This window comes from Homo sapiens, chromosome 20, assembly GCF_000001405.40.
Source record: "Homo sapiens chromosome 20, GRCh38.p14 Primary Assembly".
Taxonomy (NCBI): domain Eukaryota; kingdom Metazoa; phylum Chordata; class Mammalia; order Primates; family Hominidae; genus Homo; species Homo sapiens.
In genome coordinates, this window is record NC_000020.11 from 33,895,038 (window position 1) to 33,915,210 (window position 20,173).

Below are 20,173 nucleotides of genomic sequence, written 5' to 3' on the forward strand. Positions count from 1 at the left end.
TTAGTCAGGCATTCTGCTATTGCAGTGGAATGCTTCCTGAAACAGTTCCCCTCAAAGGAACACCATTCAATGAGTACATGGCTGCCTGTATCCAAACTGAGTTCTGTGAGCCAAGAAATATGGGAATGGCTTGAGGATAGGACATCAGGTCTCCTGGAAACATTTCTTATTTTTGTTTTCCTAGCATAGTTTGCATCAGAGAAATGCACCTTCCATACTCCACATAATCCTGGAGGGCTGTCAATCACAGACCCACATCCCCAGGCCAACAGGGCAGGCACTATTACCCAAAATAAATCAATCAGACTTCATCTCCTGGGAATTCAAACCTTAAATGAAGACACAGGGTGGGGACTCCTGTGCTGTCTCTCCCAAGAGCCTCTTGTTGGGTCCTTTTGCATCCTCTTTTTCATTTTTTTTCTTCTCTTTTTTTTTTTTTTAGATGGAGTCTCACTCTGTCACTAGGCTGGAGCGCAGTGGTGCGATCTCAGCTCACTGCAACCTCCGCCTCCCGGGTTCAAGCAATTCTTCTGCCTCAGCCTCCTGAGTAGCTGGGACTACAGGCACGCGCCACCATGCCTGGCTAATTTTTTGTATTTTTAGTAGAGACGGGGTTTCACCATGTTGGCCAGGATGGTCTCAATCTCCTGACCTTGTGATCTGCCCACCTTGTCCTCCCAAAGTGCTGGTTGCACCCTCTTTTCTCTCTACAAGTCTAACTCCACACTGCAGGCAGAGTTATCATTTAAATGCAAATCTGATCTTGTCACTCTCTTAAAACTCCTCAGTGGCTCCCCAGTGCTTTTGGGATCAAGGCCACCATTCTTCTGGTGGACTATGGACAAGCTGATGGATATTCTGTGGGATACATCACAGCCAGCTGGAGGCATGGGTTTATAGGTGAGGGATGGCAAGGATATGGGGGTGTTCAAAGGAGGAGAAGGGACCCTGGAAGAAATTGTGATGTCATTCAGGACTACAGGATAGGCATGAATGGAAGGGCTATGTGTTGGGTAATTACTTTGTGCAGGCACCTGCCAAGTACAAGCACACCTGAGAAGCATGACTCTCCCCATTGTGTAGCAGAAGAACCAACACTCGGATGGGTTAGATAACTTGCCCAAGGTCATAGAGCTTGTCAGAGGTAAAACCCGAAATTGAACCAGATCACTGTCCTCGATTTCAAAGTCCACTCCTTTAGCTACAAGTCCATCCACCGCTTTTGTGACAGACATTGTAATGTGCTCCCCAGGACCCCTTTAGGAATTGCTATGGTTTGAATGTTCACGTCCGCTCCAAAATTCATGTTGAAACTTAATCTCCAATGCAACAGTACTAAGAGGAGAAGCCTTTGAGAGGTGGTTAGGCCATGAGGGCTCTGCCTGCGTGGATGGGATTAGTGCTTTATAAAAAGGCTTGAGGGTGTGTGTTCACCCATTCATTCCTTCTGCCATGTGAGGACAAGGTGTTTGTCCCCTCTGGAGGATGCAACATTCAAGGCACCGTCTCGGAAGTAGAGAGCAGCCCTCACCAGACACTGAATCTGCTGGCACCTTGATCTTGGACTTCTCAGCCTCCAGAACTATAAGAAGTATATTTTTGTTTTTTTATAAATTACTGAGGTTGAGGTTTTTTGTTCCAGCAGCACAAATGGACTGAGACAGAAATGAAGGATTTATTCCCATGGCTTCTGGGAACGCTGCCAGAAGACAGCCCTCAGCTATTAGCCTTCTTTGGAGATTGTCTCAAGAGAAGAAAACGGTCTCATACCAAGGTCATGCCTCCTTCCAGAGGCAGCCTTCATCCAACAACTGACCAAAGCTGTGGTACAGAGACCTGGTCCAGTTGCCCTAGTTCAGGTCAACTCCAAAGGGCCATCCCAACTGGAGAGCCCCTCCCAGAGTCAGCTGAACCTTCAATGAGACTCTGCAGCCGCACCGCTCCCTCTGCCCAATCCTGCCTCTGTCCCCTCCCATCCTCAGGTGTGAGCCTAACAGCACGCCCCATAAACATCCTGCAAACTCATCTCCATCTAAGTCTGCTTCCCCGGGAACCCAGCTTGTGACAGACCCCAGATTTCTTACCAAGAATTTGTTTCTGCTGTTTCCTCTAACTGAAATGTGGTTCCCCCAGCCTCTCTCTCTCTCTCTTTTTTTTTTTTTGAGACGGAGTCTCGCTCCGTTGCCCAGGCTGGAGTGCAGTGGTGTGATCTTGGTTCACTGCGACCTCCGCCTCCCAGGTTCAAGCAATTCTCCTGCCTCAGCCTCCCAAGTAGCTGGGACGACAGCTACTGGGACTACAGTGCCACCATGCCCAGCTAAGTTTTTATATTTTTAGTAGAGACAGGGTTTCACCATATTAGCCAGGAAGGTCTCGATCTCCTGACCTCATGATCTGCCCGCCTCAGCCTCCCAAAGTGTTGAGATTACAGGCATGAGTCACTGCGCCCGGTGTAGCCTCTCTTTATCAAGATGTTCCTGCTCATTCTCTGAGTGAGAGTGGCGTGAACACAGCTCTGCCACAGTCAGGCTGGTTTCTAGCCATATACCTCATGACTGTTCCTACTGTAGTGCCTTAGCTTGTGGTATACCCCCAGTCCTCCTGGAATGTCCTTCACCATCCTAACCCTACCACCTTAGCTGGACTCAGAGGAACAAATATATAGGACTGACAATTACAGTCGCTCAGGATGCTCACTGCACAACTCCCAGGGGGCACCATTCCCAGTTCAGCGATCAACCTGTCCAGCATCACTTTGCAAATTATGCTACAGGAGGTTGAGAGCCAGGCTTTGGGTCAAAAGGACCCAGATATGAATCCTGGTTCTGCTGCTTATTAGCTATGTAGCTTTAGAGGAAACATTAATTCTTGTTTCCTTGGTGTTTTCATCTGCAAAATGAGGGTATACCATACCGTAGTGATTATTTTTACTTTTTTTTTTTTTTGAGATGGCGTCTCGCTCTGTCACCCAGCCTGGAGTGCAGTGGTGCGATCTTGGCTCACTTTGCAGCCTCTGCCTTCCAGGTTCCAGCAATTCTTCTGCCTCAGCCTCCTGGGTAGCTGGGATTACAGGCGCACACCACCACGCCTGGCTAATTTTGGTATTTTTAGTAGAGATGGAGTTTCACCATGTTGGCCAGACTGGTCTCGAACTCCTGACCTCAGGTGATCCACCTGCCTTGGCCTCCCAAAGCGCTGGGATTATAGGCAAGAGCCACCGCGTCCAGCCCATATTGTATTGATTCTAAGATGCACAGTTTTTCATTTTCACATCTCTGAAATTAGGCTATATCTTACAATTGCTGGTATGCTATATTTCTAATCAGTAGCATTTTTTCTTTCTTGGTGTTGATAAAATCACGGTGCATATTATAAGTAATGCCATGGTAGACTTGTTGAAAGATGGAAAAATATCTATCTCAGAGGAGGATGGATAAGACCAGCATGGGATGCCCAGGGTGTCACCCACCCTGTATCCCCTCAGTCTACCCTGAGGGTCACCTGCAGCTTCTTTGGAAGTTCTTGTACACCATGTAAATGGAGCAAGTCATTTCCAACCCCCCTTTCTCAGTTTCCTTGTCTGTATAAAGGGTACATAATAGCACCACCTCATAGAAGGTTTTTTTTCATTTTTTTTCTGAGACAGAGTCTTGCTCTGTCACCAGGCTGCAGTGCAATGGCGTGATCTCAGCTCACTGCAAGCTCCGCCTCCTGGGTTCAATCGATTCTCTTGCCTCAGCCTCCCGAGTAGCTGGGATTATAGGCGCCCGCCACCACACCCAGCTAATTTTTGTATTTTTAGTAGAGACGGGTTTCACCATGTTGGCCAGGATGGTCTCAATCTCTTGACCTCATAATCCGCCCACCTTGGCCTCCCAAAGTGCTGGGATTACAGGCGTGAGCCACCGCACCCGACCTTTTTTTCTTTTTAAAGAGGGTCTTGCTCTGTCACTCAGGCTGGAGTGCAGTGGCACAATCATAGCTCACTGTAGCCTTGAACTCCTGGGCTCAAGCAATCCTCTCACCTCAGCCTCCTGAGTAGCTGGTACTACAGCTCATCAAAAAAAAAATTTTTTTTTAGAGACAACATGTGTCTAAATGCTTAGGATGGTCTCGAGCTCCTGGGCTCAAGCAAACCTCCCACCTTGGCCGCCCAAAGTGCTGGGATTACAGGCGTAAGCCACTGTGCCCAACTCTCATACAGTTTCATGAGGACAAAATGAACTCGGGATGGCGAAGTGGGTGTGCCCTGTGTCAGCCTGCATGCTGCCAGGTGCAGCTCTCACAGCCTAGGCTGAGGCCATTGGCAATGGCAATGCAGTCTCTGTCTGTCTGCCTGGCTTTTGTTCATCTCTGGCTGTTGGGAGATTCGAGGTGAGGTAGGAGGTAGCTCCTCATCCCAGGTAGGCAGGAGGACCTGGGTGGCAGTCCTCGCTCTGCCAGCTTGGGTGAGTCTCACTACCTCTCTGAGGCCCAGCTTCTTATCTGTATTAGTGATCTCTTGGGCTTATTGTAGGACTAAAAGTTTGTGAAGGTAAAGTGCTTGGCGCATGGTAGATGCTCAGTTTTAAAACAGAACTTCTGCCTGGCCAAAAGAAAAGACTGGCTGGGGGCTGACATGGAGGCATATTGCCCAGTGGCCCACTCCTGAAGATGGTGAAGGTAGTATAAGTGTAAGAGCCCACACTCAGAGCCTGTCCCTACCTGCTGAGACTCCAGGATTAAAAACCTGAAGTACAGCCGGGTATGCTGGCCCACGCCTATAATCATAGCACTCTGGGAGGCTGAGGCGGGTGGATCACCTGAGGTCAGGAGTTCGAGACCAGCCTGGCCAACATGGTGAAACCCCATCTCTACTAAAAATACAAAAATTAGCCGGGCGAGGTGGTGGGCACCTGTAACCCCAGCTACTTGGGGGGCTGAGGCAGGAGAATCGCTTGAACCTGGGAGGCGGAGGTTGCATCGAGCCAAGATCGTGCCTTTGCACTCTAGCCTGGGCGACAGAGTGAAACTCCGTCTCAGAAAGGCTAACAAACAAACAAACAAACACCTGAAGTACCACAGGCATCTCAGATCATTCCTGCCTCCAGGCTGGAAGGACTCTGTGATGTTGTGATATTATAAGAAATACACGCGTGTAATCCTGGCACTTTGGGAGGCCGAGGCAAGCGGTTTGCTTGAGCTCAAGAGTTCGAGACCAGCCTGGGCAACATGGCAAAATCCTGTTTCTACGAAAAAAATACAAAAATTAGCCGGGCATGGTGGCACACACCTGTAGTCCCAGCTGCTTGGGAGGCTGAGGCAAGAGGATTGCTTGAGCCCAGGAGGTAGAGGCTGCAGTGAGCTGAGATCACGCCACTGCACTCCAGCCTGGGCGACAGTGAATATATACTTATTTGGTCTCTGCCTATGGTTCCTGAGATAGAGATCCTAAGACCTTGTAATTTCCTGAGCAATAGGGGAGTGAGGAGAATCTTTTGTTCTGATATTCGGTCTTTGACCCCAGTTCCTGACACAAAGCTCCAAAAACCTTTTTAATTGCCTGAGTAATGGGAGCACGTAGCACAGCTCCTAAATCCCTCAGGATTCCCCGGGTGACAGGAGCTTCTTTTGTTCTTACGAGGTGACTCTTGGGGGGCTCCTGGACAGCCTCAGAATGGGGGTTGGTTGCCAAGGGAACCAACCATGTGATTAGAGAGTTGGAACTTTCAGCCCCACCCCCTAACTCCAGGAAGGGGAGAGGGGCTGAAGGTTGAGTGGGTTACCAGTGGCCAGTGATGTAATCAGTCACGCCTATGAAATGAAGCCTCCATCAAAACCCAAAAGGATTGGGTACAGGGAGCTTCTAGGTTACTGAACACGTGAAGGTGCCTGGAGGGTGGTGCTCCCAGAAGGCGGGGAAGCTCTGTGCTCTCTCACTCCCACGTCCCTTGCCCTGTTGACTTCTTCACCTGGCTGTTCATCTGTCCTGTGTAATATGCTTTGTAACAAACCTGTAAACATAAGTGCTTCCCTGAGTTCTGTGAGCTGTCCTAGCAAGTTAACCTAACTCGAGGGAGTCGTGGGATTCTTAGTTTGCAGGCTGTCATTCAGTGGTGACGACCTATTACTTGCAACTAGCCTCTGAAGTGGGGGCAGAGTTGTGGAACTCTGTGTGATCTGATGCTATCTTCACGTAGAGAGCATCAGAATGCATCTGAACTAATTGAATTAGAGGACACCCTCTTGGTGTCTGCTAGAGAACTGCTTGGTGTGTGGGAAAACCTCTCACTCACACATCTGCTGTCAGAAGTGTTGTGTTGTGTGGTGTGTGAAAGTAGAAAAACATTTTTTCCACTTACCTCTCTCTCTCTCTTTTTTTTTGGAGACAGGGTCTGGCTCTGTCGCCTAGGCTGGAGTACAGTGGCTTGATCTCGGCTCACTGCAGCCTCTATCTCCCAGGTTCCAGCCATCCTCCCACCTCAGCCTCCTGAGTAGCTGGGACTACAGGCACATGCCACCATGCCTGGCTAATTCTTTTTTTTTGGTAAAGACAGGGTTTTTTTATGAACTCCTGAGGTCAAGCAATTACCCACCTCAGCCTCCCAAAGTGTTGGGATTACAAGCATGAGCCACTGCACTGGGCCTCCACTTATCAATTTTTTTTGTTTGTTTGTTTTTTGAGACAGAGTCTTGCTCTGTTGCCGAGGCTGGAGTGCAATGGTGTGATCTCAGCTCACTGCAACCTCCACCTCCCAGATTCAAGCGATTATCCTGTCTCAGTCTCCTGAGTAGCTGGGATTACAGGCAAGCGCCACCACACCCGGCTAATTTTTGTATTTTTAGTAGAGATGAGGTTTCACCATGTTGGCCAGGCTGGTCTCGAACTCCTGACCTTGTGATCTGCCCACCACGGCCTCCTAAAGTGCTGGGATTACAGACATGAGCCACCGTGCCCAGCCCACTTATCTCTTATAGACCCCAAACCTCCAACCAAGTTTCATCTCTGACCAAAAACCTCTCTGCCACCTTGTGTACGGACCAAGATTCCACCATTGTCACGCTTTCCTGGCATCTCAGGCTGGCACATTCCACATCTATTCTAATCTTCCTTCAGACACTGTTTTTCTCCTATGATACCATTAACTAGGAGTTGTCCACTCTCTACTTGAATGCTCCTAGCCATGAGGATCTCCCTCCCTCCTGAGACAGCCTCCTTCAGCAGAGTCCAGCTGTCTCCTGTGCAGTTCTTCCTTACATGCAGCTCCTGCCTGACCCTCCCAGGCCCCCATGCTCAGTCCTAGGTCTGTCCCTGGGGCCACCCAGAAGTGGTCTGCTCCGCCTACATCCCCATCCCCACAAGGATGAAATGTTCCTTATAGGACAAGGTGTATCTACCATTTCTTTTTTTTTTTTTCTTTCCTTCCTTCCTTCCTTCCCTCTCACTTTCTTTCTTTCTTTTTTTTTTTTTTTTTTCTGAGACAGAGTCTCTCTGTCACCCAGGCTGGAGTGCACTGGTGCAATCTCAGCTCACTGCAAGCTCCACCTCCCAGGTTCAAGCAATTCTCCTGCCTCAGCCTCTGGAGTAGCTGGGGCTACAGGCACATGCCACTACACCTGGCTAATTTTTGTATTTTTAGTAGAGACAGGGTTTCACCATGTTGGCCAGGCTGGTCTTAAACTCCTGACCTCGGGTATTCCACCCGCCTTGGCCTCCCAAAGTGCTGGGATTGCAGGTGTGAGCCACCATGCCTGACCCATCATTTCTTTAAGAAAATAAAACACCTCTCTCTTTAAATATATGCCTTTCTTTTTTTAAGTGGAAAAGTAATCCATGTGCATTGTTGAAAACATGGGAAATGTATGTCAAAGTAGAAAGATTAAAATTACCCATAATTCCAACTCCCAGAAACAACCACTATTAACTTTTACTTCTGCCTTCCTATTCATTTTCCCCATAATTGAGCGCATAGTGCATAGAAAATTTGGTGCTCTGCTTTTTCCACATAACATTATTACAGGAATATTTCGCTGTACCATTCAAATTTCTTTCAAACATGATTTTTATTTTTAATGATTATGTAGTACACCATTGTCTAGACAATTTACTGATCGTTCCCAATTGTTAGACATTTGGGTCATATTTAATTTTTAACTATGATGTCACAATGCTGTGGTTAAAAAAAAGTTGTATATAAAGTATTTTACCGCTTTCAAATTATTTCCTTAGACTCATATCCTAGAAGTATTACCATTAGGTCCAAGGGTTGTAGGTATTTTAAAGACGACATTCTCCCAACTTTTTTGTCTTTAACAGCTTTAATGGGATGATAAATACAGCTTGAGAAACATATTGTGTGACAAGATGTCACACCAATAGCCAGACTGTAAAACTGTACACAACATCCTTTTATAAAGTTTTATCATTTGTTTTCAATTTTATAAAGATGTCTTACTGTACTGGTCATTTATATCTTATCATTCACACACCAGCAGTACAGATCCCAGGGACAGCGCCTAGGACTGAGGTGCTCCAAGGAGGACAGAGGCAAAGGCATGGCATTCTGCTGAGAAAAGACTTGTAAGAGCAATTCATTATTTTATTTTATTATTAAATTTGTTTTTAAATTATTATTAAAATATTTTTCATGATGGGGTCTCACACTGTTGCCCAGGCTAGAGTGCAGTGGCTCCAGTACAGCTTACTACAGCCTCCACTTCGAGGGCTCAAGCAATCCTCCTACTTCAGCCTTCTGAACAGCTAGGACAATAGGCGTGTGCCCCTATGCCTGGCTAATTTGTTTTAGTTTTTGTAGAGATAGAGTTTCACTGTGTCAACCAGGCTGTTCTCAAACTCCTGGCCTCCCAAAGTGCTGGGGTTACAGACGTGAGCTACTACGCCCAGCCCAATTCATTACCTTAAAACCAATTTTTACTCATGCTAAAATCATATGAGTGGGCCGGGTGCGGTGGCTCACACCTGTAATCCCAGCACTTTGGGAGGCCAAGGCTGGTGGATCACGAGGTCAAGAGATCGAGACTATCCTGGCTAACATGGTGAAACCCCGTCTCTACTAAATAATACGAGAAATTAGCTGCGTGCGGTGGCGGGTGCCTGTAGTCCCAGCTACTCGGGAGGCTGAGGCGGGAGAATGGTGTGAACCTGAGAGGCGGAGCTTGCAGTGAGCCAGGATCGTGCCACTGTACTTTAGCCTGGGCAACAGAGCGAGACTCCGTCTCAAAAAAAAAAAAAAAAAAACTCGTATGAGTGTCCATTATATGTACTTTTTCCAACATTAAATACTGTTTTTCAATATTTGCAAATTTGATAGGTAAAAATGAACACATTTTTCATTTTCTTCAAATTTTTTAAAATTTTATTAATATGGAATACTTTAATATTTATTGGTCGGCCGGGCGCGGTGGCTCACGCCTGTAATCCCAGCACTTTGGGAGGCCGAGGCGGGTGGATCATGAGGTCAGGAGATCGAGACCATCCTGGCTAACAAGGTGAAACCCCGTCTCTACTAAAAATACAAAAAATTAGCCAGGCGCGGTGGCGGGCGCCTGTAGTCCCAGCTACTGGGGAGGCTGAGGCAGGAGAATGGCGTGAACCCGGGAAGCGGAGCTTGCAGTGAGCCGAGATTGCGCCACTGCAGTCCGCAGTCCGGCCTGGGCGACAGAGCGAGACTCCGTCTCAAAAAAAAAAAAAAAAAAATTTATTGGTCATTCGTATTTCTTCTCGTGCAAACTGTCAATGTCGCTTGTCTCTTTATCTGCTAGGGGTCTTACTAGGTGTTTTACTTGTTGATTTATAAGAACTCTCTATATATTAAGGATGTTTTGGAAGCCAACTATTATCTCAACTTGTTGTTTGCCTATATGTTTCATTTGTGAGTGTCTGTAGAGATCATTTAAATTTCATGAGCCGAGTGTATCAGTCTTTTATTTTGTGATTCTTTTTTCTCCTTTGCTTTTTTTTTTTTTTTTTTTTTTAGACAGGCTCTCACTCCCATCGTGGAGGCTGGAGTACAGTGGTGCATTCACGGATCACTGCAGCCTCAACTTCCTGAGCTCAGGTGATTCTCCCACCTCAGCCTCCTGAGTAGCTAGGACTACAGGTACATAGCACCACGCCTGGCTGATTTTTTGTATTTTTGGTAGAGACGGGTTTTGCCATGTTGCCCAGGCTGGTCTTGAACTCCTAGACTCAAGTGATCTGCCTGCCTTGGCCTCCCAAAATGCTGGGATTACAGGTGTGAGCCACTGCACCCTGCCTTCTCCATTGCTTTGTAATTTAGGAAGTCTTCCCCAACTTGATGAATATCTGTTTCTATTTTCTTCTAGGTTTTAAATGTTTGCTTACATTTAACTGGATTCCATCTGGAGTTTATTTTTGTATACATTTTGAGGGAAGGATCTCTGTGGATCTTCTTTTTTCTTTACCCAAATAGTAAATCAATTATGCACGAAATAGTTTTGGGTGCCCCCACCAGCCTCATCACCCATGGAAAAAGCTTTCATTCTTTCATGTCCTTCCTAAAGTGTGGGGACCAGAACAGGAACAAATAATTCTTAAACAATTAAATGAAAGCCTAAGCTAGATTCTTTTCAGCCTTCTTATAACAACCCTGAGAAGGAGATTGATTATCAGTCCCATTTATGGATGAGAAAGCTGAGGCTCAGAGACGTAAAGCAACTTTCCCGAGGTTAACACAGCTAGTCTGATCTGGAATTAGAACATACATTGTTTGACTGCTATATCCCCAGGCCTCAGCATTTATAATTGGTTTCAAGTTGAATTAGCTCTGGGTTCTCTTTACAGAGGAACCACCTGACTTTGCTACTGGGAGATGAGCATCCAGAGCCCAGACCTTCAGAGAATGGGCTTGGGAACCTGAGCCCAGAGGAAACACATGCCAAACCAGTTGGTGAATTTGTTTTTATTAATTTTTTTTTTTGAGACAGAGTCTGGCTCTGTCACCTAGGCTGGAGTGCAGTGGTGTGATCTCAGCTTGCTGCAACCTCACCTCCCGGGTTCAAGCAATTCTCCTGCCTCAGCCTCCCAAGTAGCTGGGATTACAGGTGCCCACCACCATGCCCGGCTAACTTTTGTATTTTTAGTAGTGATGGGGTTTCACCATGTTGACCAGGCTGGTGTTGAACTCCCGACCTCTGGTGTTCTGCCCGCCTTGGCCTCCCAAAGTGCTGGGATTACAGGTGTGAGCCACCATGCCCAGCCAAATTTGTTTTTCTTAAGTTAGCAAAATCCTACATTTTCACTGAAAATATTTTGGGTGTCTCAACAATCTTCACACCTCTGGTTTCCTTTAGGATGAATTTGGTTAGGCTGGTTTGTTTTGTTTTCTTGTTGCAAGGGACAGGTTCCCACTCAGTGGTTAAAATGAAGGGGCTTACTAAGGTCACAGAAACCAGGATGGATCCAGATGTGGTGACTCATGCCTATAATCTCAGCACCTTGGAAGGCTGAGGCAGGAGGATTACTTGCGGCCACTAGTTCAAGACCAGCCTGGGCAACATAGCAAGACCCTGTCTCTATAAAAAAATTGTTTTAAAAAAAATTAGCTGGGTGTGGTGGTGTGTGATTGTACTCTCAGCTACTTGAGAGGCTGAGGCAAGAAGATCACCTGAGCCCAAGAGTTCGAGGCTGCAGTGAACTATGATCACACCACTGCACTCCAGCCTGGGTGACAGAGCAAGATCCTGTCTCAGAAAAAAAAGAAAAAGAAGAAAAAGAAAAAGAAAAGAAAAGAAAGGAAGAAACCAAGAGAGAAAAACACAGTTCATAGGGGCTTTAGGACAAATGCCAGCCCTGCCCTTCAGTGCCCCTGGAAGTCACTGTCCTGCCTCTCTCTGCAGACTACAAGCTAGGCTGCTTCACAGGGTCCCACAGGGTGTCAGCCCCTGAGTTTGCATACAAACCTACAAAACACAGATTTGGGAGTAGTGTGCTTACCGGATTTGGGGGAACTGCCAATCTCTATGATTTTGCAACTCGAATAATCCTCACCTTAAAAAAATTTTTTTGAGAGTATCCAATTTTTTGTTGTTGTTGTTTTTGTTTGTTTGTTTTTTGAGATGGAGTCTTACTCTGTCACCAAGGCTGGAGTACAGTGGCACAATCTCAGCTCACTGCAACCTCTGCCTCCCAGGTTCAAGTGATTCTCTTGCCTCAGCCTCCTGAGTAGCTGGGATTACAGGTGCGTGCCACCATACCTGGCTAATTTTTGTATTTTTAGTGGAGACAGGGTTTCAACTAGTTGGCCAGGCTGGTCTTGAACTCCTGACCTCAAGTGATCCGCCCACCTTGGCCTCCCAAAGTTCTGGGATTACAGGTATGAGCCACCATGCCTGGCTCTAATTGGTTGTTGATCAACCAATGAATTCACTGTGTCTAGTCAGGTGACCATCTCTAGCTCCATCAACTGTAATGGTAGCTGTGGGAGGTCGCGTGGTTCCCAGGACGCCCCTCTCCAGAGCTTGAGGTGAGGCAGAGAAACTGACATCCCCGTCTCACCAGAGGTACCCAATTCTGTATTCCACGGGTGGTTGAATTTCCTTCATCCCATATTTAATGTTCCAAGGCAGAGCTGCTATTGTTTTATTTTGCCAAAAAAAGGTAATATATAGCAAACAAACAACATGATCCCCATTTAGTATCACCACCATTTCAGAAACCATAGGTAACTTGCACCTCAAAACTAAAGGTTAGAGATAATCCCAAAGTAAAGGACAGCCTTCCTTGCGACGGATAATTGGCCACCTCAGGACATTCTTGCTGGGGACCATGGGCACAGGCACCAGTCCATGAACCAGTACGTGGGATTCAAGCTTTCTTCTCTTGCCTGCTCCCGTGGGTACACTCTTTCCATGAGTGCAACTTTTAGAACATAAACAGGGGGCTATGGTCTCAAGTTAACTGCCTTCATGTCTGGGGTAAAGAGCCACATGCTGCCACCTTTAACTCTGTTTCATTCCCTGGAACCTCATGTGGCCGAGAGGTCAGCATTAAGTTAGGATAAGCTCCCGGGATCCCCAAGCCTGTCTCCAGGAAATACTTTAGACCCTCTCACCTCATTCCCACTTCATCCCTTTGGATCCAACTACTGATAAGACTTCGTGCCCCTGATCTCCTGTTTCCTGCAGGAGCTGGGGGCAGGGCCCACCTTTCCCAGCCCTTTGGGTTTGACCCATGGAGGAGCTTTGGGAGTAAACGTCCGGCGGATGAGCCACAGTTGGTGGAGCGGGCACTGTTGGAGCTCTACCCAGCTGCCCTCGGATCCTCTTAGCATTTCTGTTTGCCCAGGTTCCAGGTGTTTTCATCTGACAGCTTCCATGTGAGATTTTTCTTCAGAGGATTGCCCTTGGGCTCCTGGAGCCACTGGCTGCACAGCACAAGGACCTGGAAGTGCCTGCAGTTTACTTCCCCGCCGGGTGGCCCTTGGCCATAGATGGGCAGATACACAAGAGCATGAGTCCAGCTCCTTTGCCTCCAGGCACAAACCGAGCTGTAATTTACATTCCTCGGCTCCCAGTGGGATCAGATTGAGGCTGGGACGCTATCTGCTAGTGCACTCTTGCTTGGCTTTTTCTCTTTCCTATCTTCTTCCCCCACTCCTGCCAGTTTCTCCTAGGAGCACTTCATAAATCACTTGCCCAGGAATCGTTGTCTTTGGTTTGCTGCTAAGCCAGTCCCCCTGTCCTGGGGATCAGCAGGCTATGGCAAAAGTAATGCCCAGAGGAAAAGCAGGCTGTGAGTGTGCAGCACTTTTGCTAGCTCATGCTTGGGAGGGCCTGGACCAGCATCCTTGCATGCCCTAAATCAACAATGCTCCAGACTTGCAGGTGGTCTGATTTTCAATAGGAAAGTATAACCTATTTTTTATTTTTTACATTTAAAAATTATTTTTAAACTTACTTGGAGATAGTAAGAGTCACTTTTTTTTTTTTTTTGAGACAGGATCTTGCTCTGTTGTCCAGGCTGGAGTGCAATGGCGTGATCACAGCTCACTGCAGCCTTAAGCAATGCTTCCACCTTAGCCTCCTGAGTAGCTGGAGTACCGATGCACACCACCATGCCCGACTAATTTATTTTTTTGTAGCGAAGCAGTCTCATTATTTTGCCCAGGGTGGTCTCGAACTCCTGGGCTCTAGAGATCCCAATCCTCCCACCTCAGCCTCCCAAAATGTTGGGATTAAAGGCAAGAGCCACTTCATGCAGCGGAGAGTCACTCTTTTTGGTGTGTAGTTCTAGGAGTCTTGAAAAATGCATAGAATCAGAAACCACAATCACAATCAAGATATAGAAGCAGATTCTGTCATGTGGCCAGGGCCCTCTGTAACCAAACCTTCCCTTCACCCTGATCCCCTGGCAACCACTGATCTGTTCTTCATCACCATAGTTGTGCCTTTTCCAGAATGCCATATAAATGAAATCACACAGTAGCTTTGGCTTCTTTTAGGTAACACGATACCTTTGAGATTCATCCACATTTTTGCACGTATCCATTGCTGGTCCTTGTGGACGTTTTCAGTAATCAAAATGGAGTCACTTATGTTGACCCCGAACAAAATGGAGCCCATGGGCCTTGAAGGAAGGGCTCTCGTGCACATATGCCTATGACTGGAATGATTGTAAGGACTCTCTGAAAACCACAACAATTTCAAAAATTTCAGATAAGCCTCTTGCACAAGAACACTTGACTAACAATGGCTGCCTTCACCAATGAGTGGATGCCAACTATTGCAGGAGGCCCCTGTAACCAATGGTCCTTGTTTCAAAGCAGCTTTTGTGAACTTTTCCTTTTGTCTATAAAAGGAAACTCCTTTGGATATGCCTGTGGTTCACCAGAGCATGCATATCGCTCCTGCTATTCCCAAATAAACTCTTTGTTTTAAGTAACACAATATATTTGAAGTTTATCCAAGTTTTTGTATGTATCAATTGCTTGTCCTGGAGGGCAACTGTTCTGGAGAGCAGGTCTCTCTCCTGTTTACTTAAGGTAGACATCCTTTTTTTTATTGCTGAATAGGGTTACATTGTATAGCTCGACTACAGTTTAACCATTCCTCAATGGGGAAACATTTGGGGTTTCCAGTTTTTCATGATTATAATTAAAGCTGATATGAACATTTTCATATGTTTTTTGGTTCAACATAGGCTTTTGTTTCACTTGAGTAAATGCCAAAGAGATTTCTGGGTAGTTTGTTAAGTGTATATTTATCTTTGTAAGGAACTGCCAAGTGTTTTCCGGAGAAGTTGAACTATTTGGCCTTCCCACCAGCAATGTGTGAGAGTTCTTATTGCTTGACATCCTCACCAGTGCTGTACAGTCAGGGTTTGTTTGCTTGTTTGTTTGGGTCTTTTTTTGGAGGGACTGGTTCTTAATTTCTTTCTTTCTTTTTTTTTTTTTTTTTTTTTTTTGAGACAGGGTCTTGCTCTATCGCCCAGGCTGGAGGGCAATGGTGCAATCTCGGCTCACTGTAACCTCCGCCTCCCAGGTTTAAGCAATTCTCCTGCCTCAGCCTCCTGAGTAGCTGGGATTACAGGTATGTGCCACCATGCCTGGCCAATTTCTTTGCATTTTGTTTAGTAGAGATGGGGTTTCACCATGTTGGCCAGGCTGGTCTCAAACTCCTGGCCCCAAGTGATCCACTTGCTTTGGCCTCCCAAAGTGCAGAGATTATAGGCATGAGCGATCATGCGTGGCCTGGTTCTTTATTTCAAAAAGACACTCATCAGTCTTCAGTATCAAAACAGTTGCACTATTGATTTCTTTTTCTCCCAGTTGTCGTCAAAGAGGCATCAAAGGAGAGTACATTGTAAGCCAATAAGCTGCAGTTTGTACGCCTAACAGACCTCCTAGAAACTTTACCAAAAAGTGGGGATTAGGTAGGGAAAGAAACTTTAAAAGATCAGCAACCTGCCAGCCTACAGACTGTGGAGAGCTCTCACAGCCAGAGGGGGTAGCCAGGGTGCCAGAAACCCAAAGAAGCAAAGTTTCAAAATAATATGACATTTAAAAAGTTTTGTACACAAGCTATTCAAGATTTCTCACTGACTGATACAAAGCACAATGACATGGCACTTTTAGAGACAGCAGCTTCAAACCCAGAAAAGGGTGATGAGATGAGTTTCATGTGGCTAAATCAGTGGCAAAAACATAATCTTCTTTCTTTCAAGGAGGCAGGAGAGCAATCAAGTGGTCACCTCAATGTAAGGGGCACATGATCCACTCTGTAAGCGGCTGGGAATGGGGTGGAGATGGGACAGAAATTTGGTCTCAGAGGTCTCACCGTCTTAATTTGGTCACTTCTTTTTTTTTTTTTTTTTTGTCCCAGATGGAGTCTTGCTGTGTCGCCCAGGCTGAAGTGCAGTGGCGCGATCTTGGCTCACTGCAACCTCCGCCTCCCAGGTTCAAGTGATTCTCCTGCCTCAGCCTCCTGAATAGCTGGGACTGCAGACGCCCACCACCATGCCTGGCTAATTTTTGTATTTTTAGTAGAGACAGGGTTTCACCATGTTGGCCAGGCTGGTCTTGAACTCCTGACCTCAAGTGATCCGCCTGCCTCAGCCTCCCAAAGTGCTGGGATTACAGGCGTGAGCCACTGCGCCTGGCTTAATTTGGTCACTTCTAATGAAAAAACAAAAAAGTAAAAATAACTTTGTCCAAAGATATCTTAAAGCTGAAAACCTGAACAGCACATTTTTTGTTGCTGTTGTTTTTGGGCTAACTCCTGGAATCACCTTTCTGGTTTGGCTGGTACTTTGTGCAAAGCTATGATTTCCCAGAGTGGAGTCTTTCCCCGGGCTCTGTTTGGTTCTCAGTAAGGCAGGCTCATACCTTTTTCCCTTTTTTCTAGAGAAAGCAATATACAGTAAGCTAAACAGTCACCTTCCAAAAGGGAGAAAGGGATTAGATTGCTGCTTCAGAGCTGTGGAACTATTTGGAATGTTTTACAAATGGTTGCTATAAAACAACAAAAAAGGTAATTACTAAATGTATACAACACAACATGCTTTTAAAGACATTATGTGTTGCACTCACATTCGCTTAAATGTTGTTCCCAAAGGTGCTCAGCCTCTAGCGCAGCTGGAATCTCTGGGAAGAGGCAGAGACAGTTTGGCAAAAAAGACACGTGGGGGAGGTAGGGGTGGTGAAAGGAGAAAGCAGCCTTCCAGTTAAAGATCAACCCTCAGTTAAAGGGCAGCTTTGGGCAGGCTGGCCTAGTTGGAGTTGGGGTCAGAGGGAGGAGCAGTGGCAAGGTGGGACTGGGGTGCTCTGCATCTCATTCAGTTAAGCAGGTCTGGTCTGGCATCCTTTGTGTACAGAGGTGCTCCTCCTTGGTGCATTTCAGTTTATCTTCCAAGTCATCAATTGTCTCTTCCAGCTTGGCTACCGATCTCTCGGCAAACTCAGCCCGGGTCTCTGCCTCCTTGCGTTTATCAGTAAGAATCTCAGTTGCTTCCTCATATCTGTCTTCTTTTTGAGAGTCCTTTTCTTCGGCAGCACTCAGCCACTTCAGGTTCTGGTCCATCGATCTGATCTGCTCCTCCATCTCTCAGCCACAGGACTCTGCCAGCTCAGGTTGTTCCTCTCTGCGTCCCAAGTTTCCTTCAACAACCACCAACTTATGAGCCGAGCCCCATCTTCATGCTTCCTACCTATCTTCTGCAATGTGCTTAGCTTCTTTGAGTTGGATTTCCTGGAGTTTCATCTTTTTTTTTTTTTTTTTGAGACAGAGTCTCCCTCTGTCACCCACTGGAGTGCAGTGGTGCAATCTCAGCTCACTGCAACCTTTGCCCTCTGGGTTCAAGTGATTCTCCTGCCTCAGCCTCCCGGGTAGCTGGGATTACAGGTGCGCACCACCATACCCGACTAATTTTTGTATTTTTAGTAGTTTTACCGTGTTGGCCAGGCTGGTCTTGAACTCCTGACCTCAGGTGATCCACCCACTTCGGCCTCCCAAAGTGCTAGGATTACAGGCATGAGCCATCGCGCCCAGCCTTTTCTTCATCTTTTAAGGCTCGATTTTCAATAACCTTCCTACCTCTCCCACTCTCAATCAGCAGCTTTTACCACTTCTTCCAGCTTTTGCAGAGCAGTGGCCAGGCACGCCTGAGCACTGTCCAGCTCCTTTTCAACCAGCTGGATCCTATGGTTCAAGGAGGCCACCTTGGCCTCAGCCTGTTCCGGGCCCACCTTGCTCCCTCTACTCCCCGCTGGAGGCGCTTAGCTCTCTCCTCTGCATCATCTGCCTGCTGCTGCTGAACCTGGCTCTTGCGCTTTACTGCCTTGATGGTGGCGATCCCAGCCACGGTGCCCACCCAGCCCCTGCTTGTGCTCCAGGTCCTGCCTCTCCACTCAGCACTGCAGCCGTTTCTCCTACTGTCAGTTTCCCCCCCCCCCACATTCCAATAGGTAGCCTCAGTTTTAAAAAATCAGGTCAGTTGGGTCATGCCATTTCTTTGCTTCCACTTTCCAATGGCTCATATCATGCTTAGAATAAAACCCGAATCCTTATGTGGCCCATAGGGTTGGCCAGCTCCTGACAGTCCCCCTGGCCTCTTCTACTCTCCCACTCCAGCTATCCTGGTATCCGTGCTGTTGCTCAGACATGCCCAGATGCCCCACCTTGAAGCCAGTGACCTTGCGGCTTCCTTATCTTGAATGCTTATTCCTCAGGTTTTCCCATGGGCCACCTCCAGAAAAGGTGGCATCTCAAAGCTATCTCTGCGGAAGGGTCTTTGCTCCCCATCCTGTGGCCTGGTTTTATTTTCTTCACATCTTTCATCAACATGTGAAATTATCTTAGCTATTTATTATTTTTAAAATGTATTGGATCTCATTAAAATGCGTGCTTTAATTGAAGTATAATATTAAGTGTATAGCTCAATGACTTTTTTTTTTTTTGAGAAAGAGAGTTTTGATTCTGTTGCCCAGGCTGAGATGCAATAGTGCAATCTCGGCTCACTGCAACCTCTGCCTCCCAGGATCAAGTGATCATCCTGCCTCAGCCTCCGAAGTAGCTGGAATTACAAGCATGTGCCACCACGCCCGGCTAATTTTTTGTATTTAGTAGAGATGGGGTTTCACCATGTTGTCAGTCTGGTTTCGAACTCCTGACATCAGGTGATCCACCTGCCTTGGCCTCCCAAAGTGCTAGGATTACAGGCGTGAGCCACCGCACCTGGCCTCTATGACTTTTTACACATGTGTGCTTGTAACCGTTCCCCATATCTGGACATAGAAGGTTCCCAGACACCCCAGAAAGCTCCCTCATGTCTCTTCTTCTCAAAGGTAGCCACTATTCTAATTTCTATTTGGTTTCTGTCATAGATGAGTTTTGCCTGCCTTTGAGCTTCATGTAAGTGGAATCGTGTAATTTGGACACTTTTTGCCTAAATTCTTTCATTCATCATTGTCTGTGAGATACAGCCACATTTTTGCATGTGGATAAATGCAACAGCAGTTTGTTCTTTTTATATTGCTGTTGCATGGAGTACTGCATAGCAATACCCCATTGCACAGCAGTGTTCCATTGTGTCAGTATAACACAATTCATTTATTCATTCTTCTGCTGGCCGACCATGGGTTGCTTCTGACTGGTTGCTGTTGAATAACACCGCTGTGAACATTTTTACACGTCTTTCCATGGAGAGATGCACTCATTTATTTTGGATATATGCCTGAGAGTAGAATTGCTAGATCATCGAGTAGGCATATGTTTATCAGCTATTTATTCTTTTACTTGTTTATATTTTTTTCTCTTCCTGGACTGTAAGTTCCATGAAGGTAGGAAACAAACTTGTCTTGTTCACTATTGTATTCCCAGTGTGTAGCACAGTGCCCAGCACATAGTAGCTGCTTAATAAATATTTGTTAAGTAAATGAACAAACTTAAGCTACTATCAGCTCCAAGTAAGTTATGACAAAGAACCCAGGACTAGCTACAAATCCTCCTGACATTCGCCCTTCGCAAGCTGATATTTGAGAGCCCAGCTGACTCAGAAGGAGGCAGAGCTGCAGGTGCTGGGTTATTCAGCATCCTGTTATTCTTTGAAGTGGCTCCCCCTCCCTCTCTTGGCCTGCATTGTCACAGCTTGAAATATTCTTTTGATTATGAGAACATTTCCCATTAAGTGTGCATCTCCAGCTTCCCCCCACCCCCC

At 46.6% G+C, this 20,173-nt stretch overlaps 1 pseudogene, besides 1 other annotated feature; it reads right to left on the reverse strand.

The window, feature by feature from the left end:
* Window positions 12,790–13,291: an enhancer, noted in NCBI's record as "H3K4me1 hESC enhancer chr20:32495633-32496134 (GRCh37/hg19 assembly coordinates)". NCBI's record gives its function as "activates a minimal SCP1, AML or CMV promoter by ChIP-STARR-seq in primed H9 embryonic stem cells {active_cell/tissue: H9 hESC(primed)}" and the evidence as "EXISTENCE:reporter gene assay evidence [ECO:0000049][PMID:30033119]".
* Window positions 15,686–18,386, reverse strand: TPM3P2 (tropomyosin 3 pseudogene 2; annotated as a pseudogene).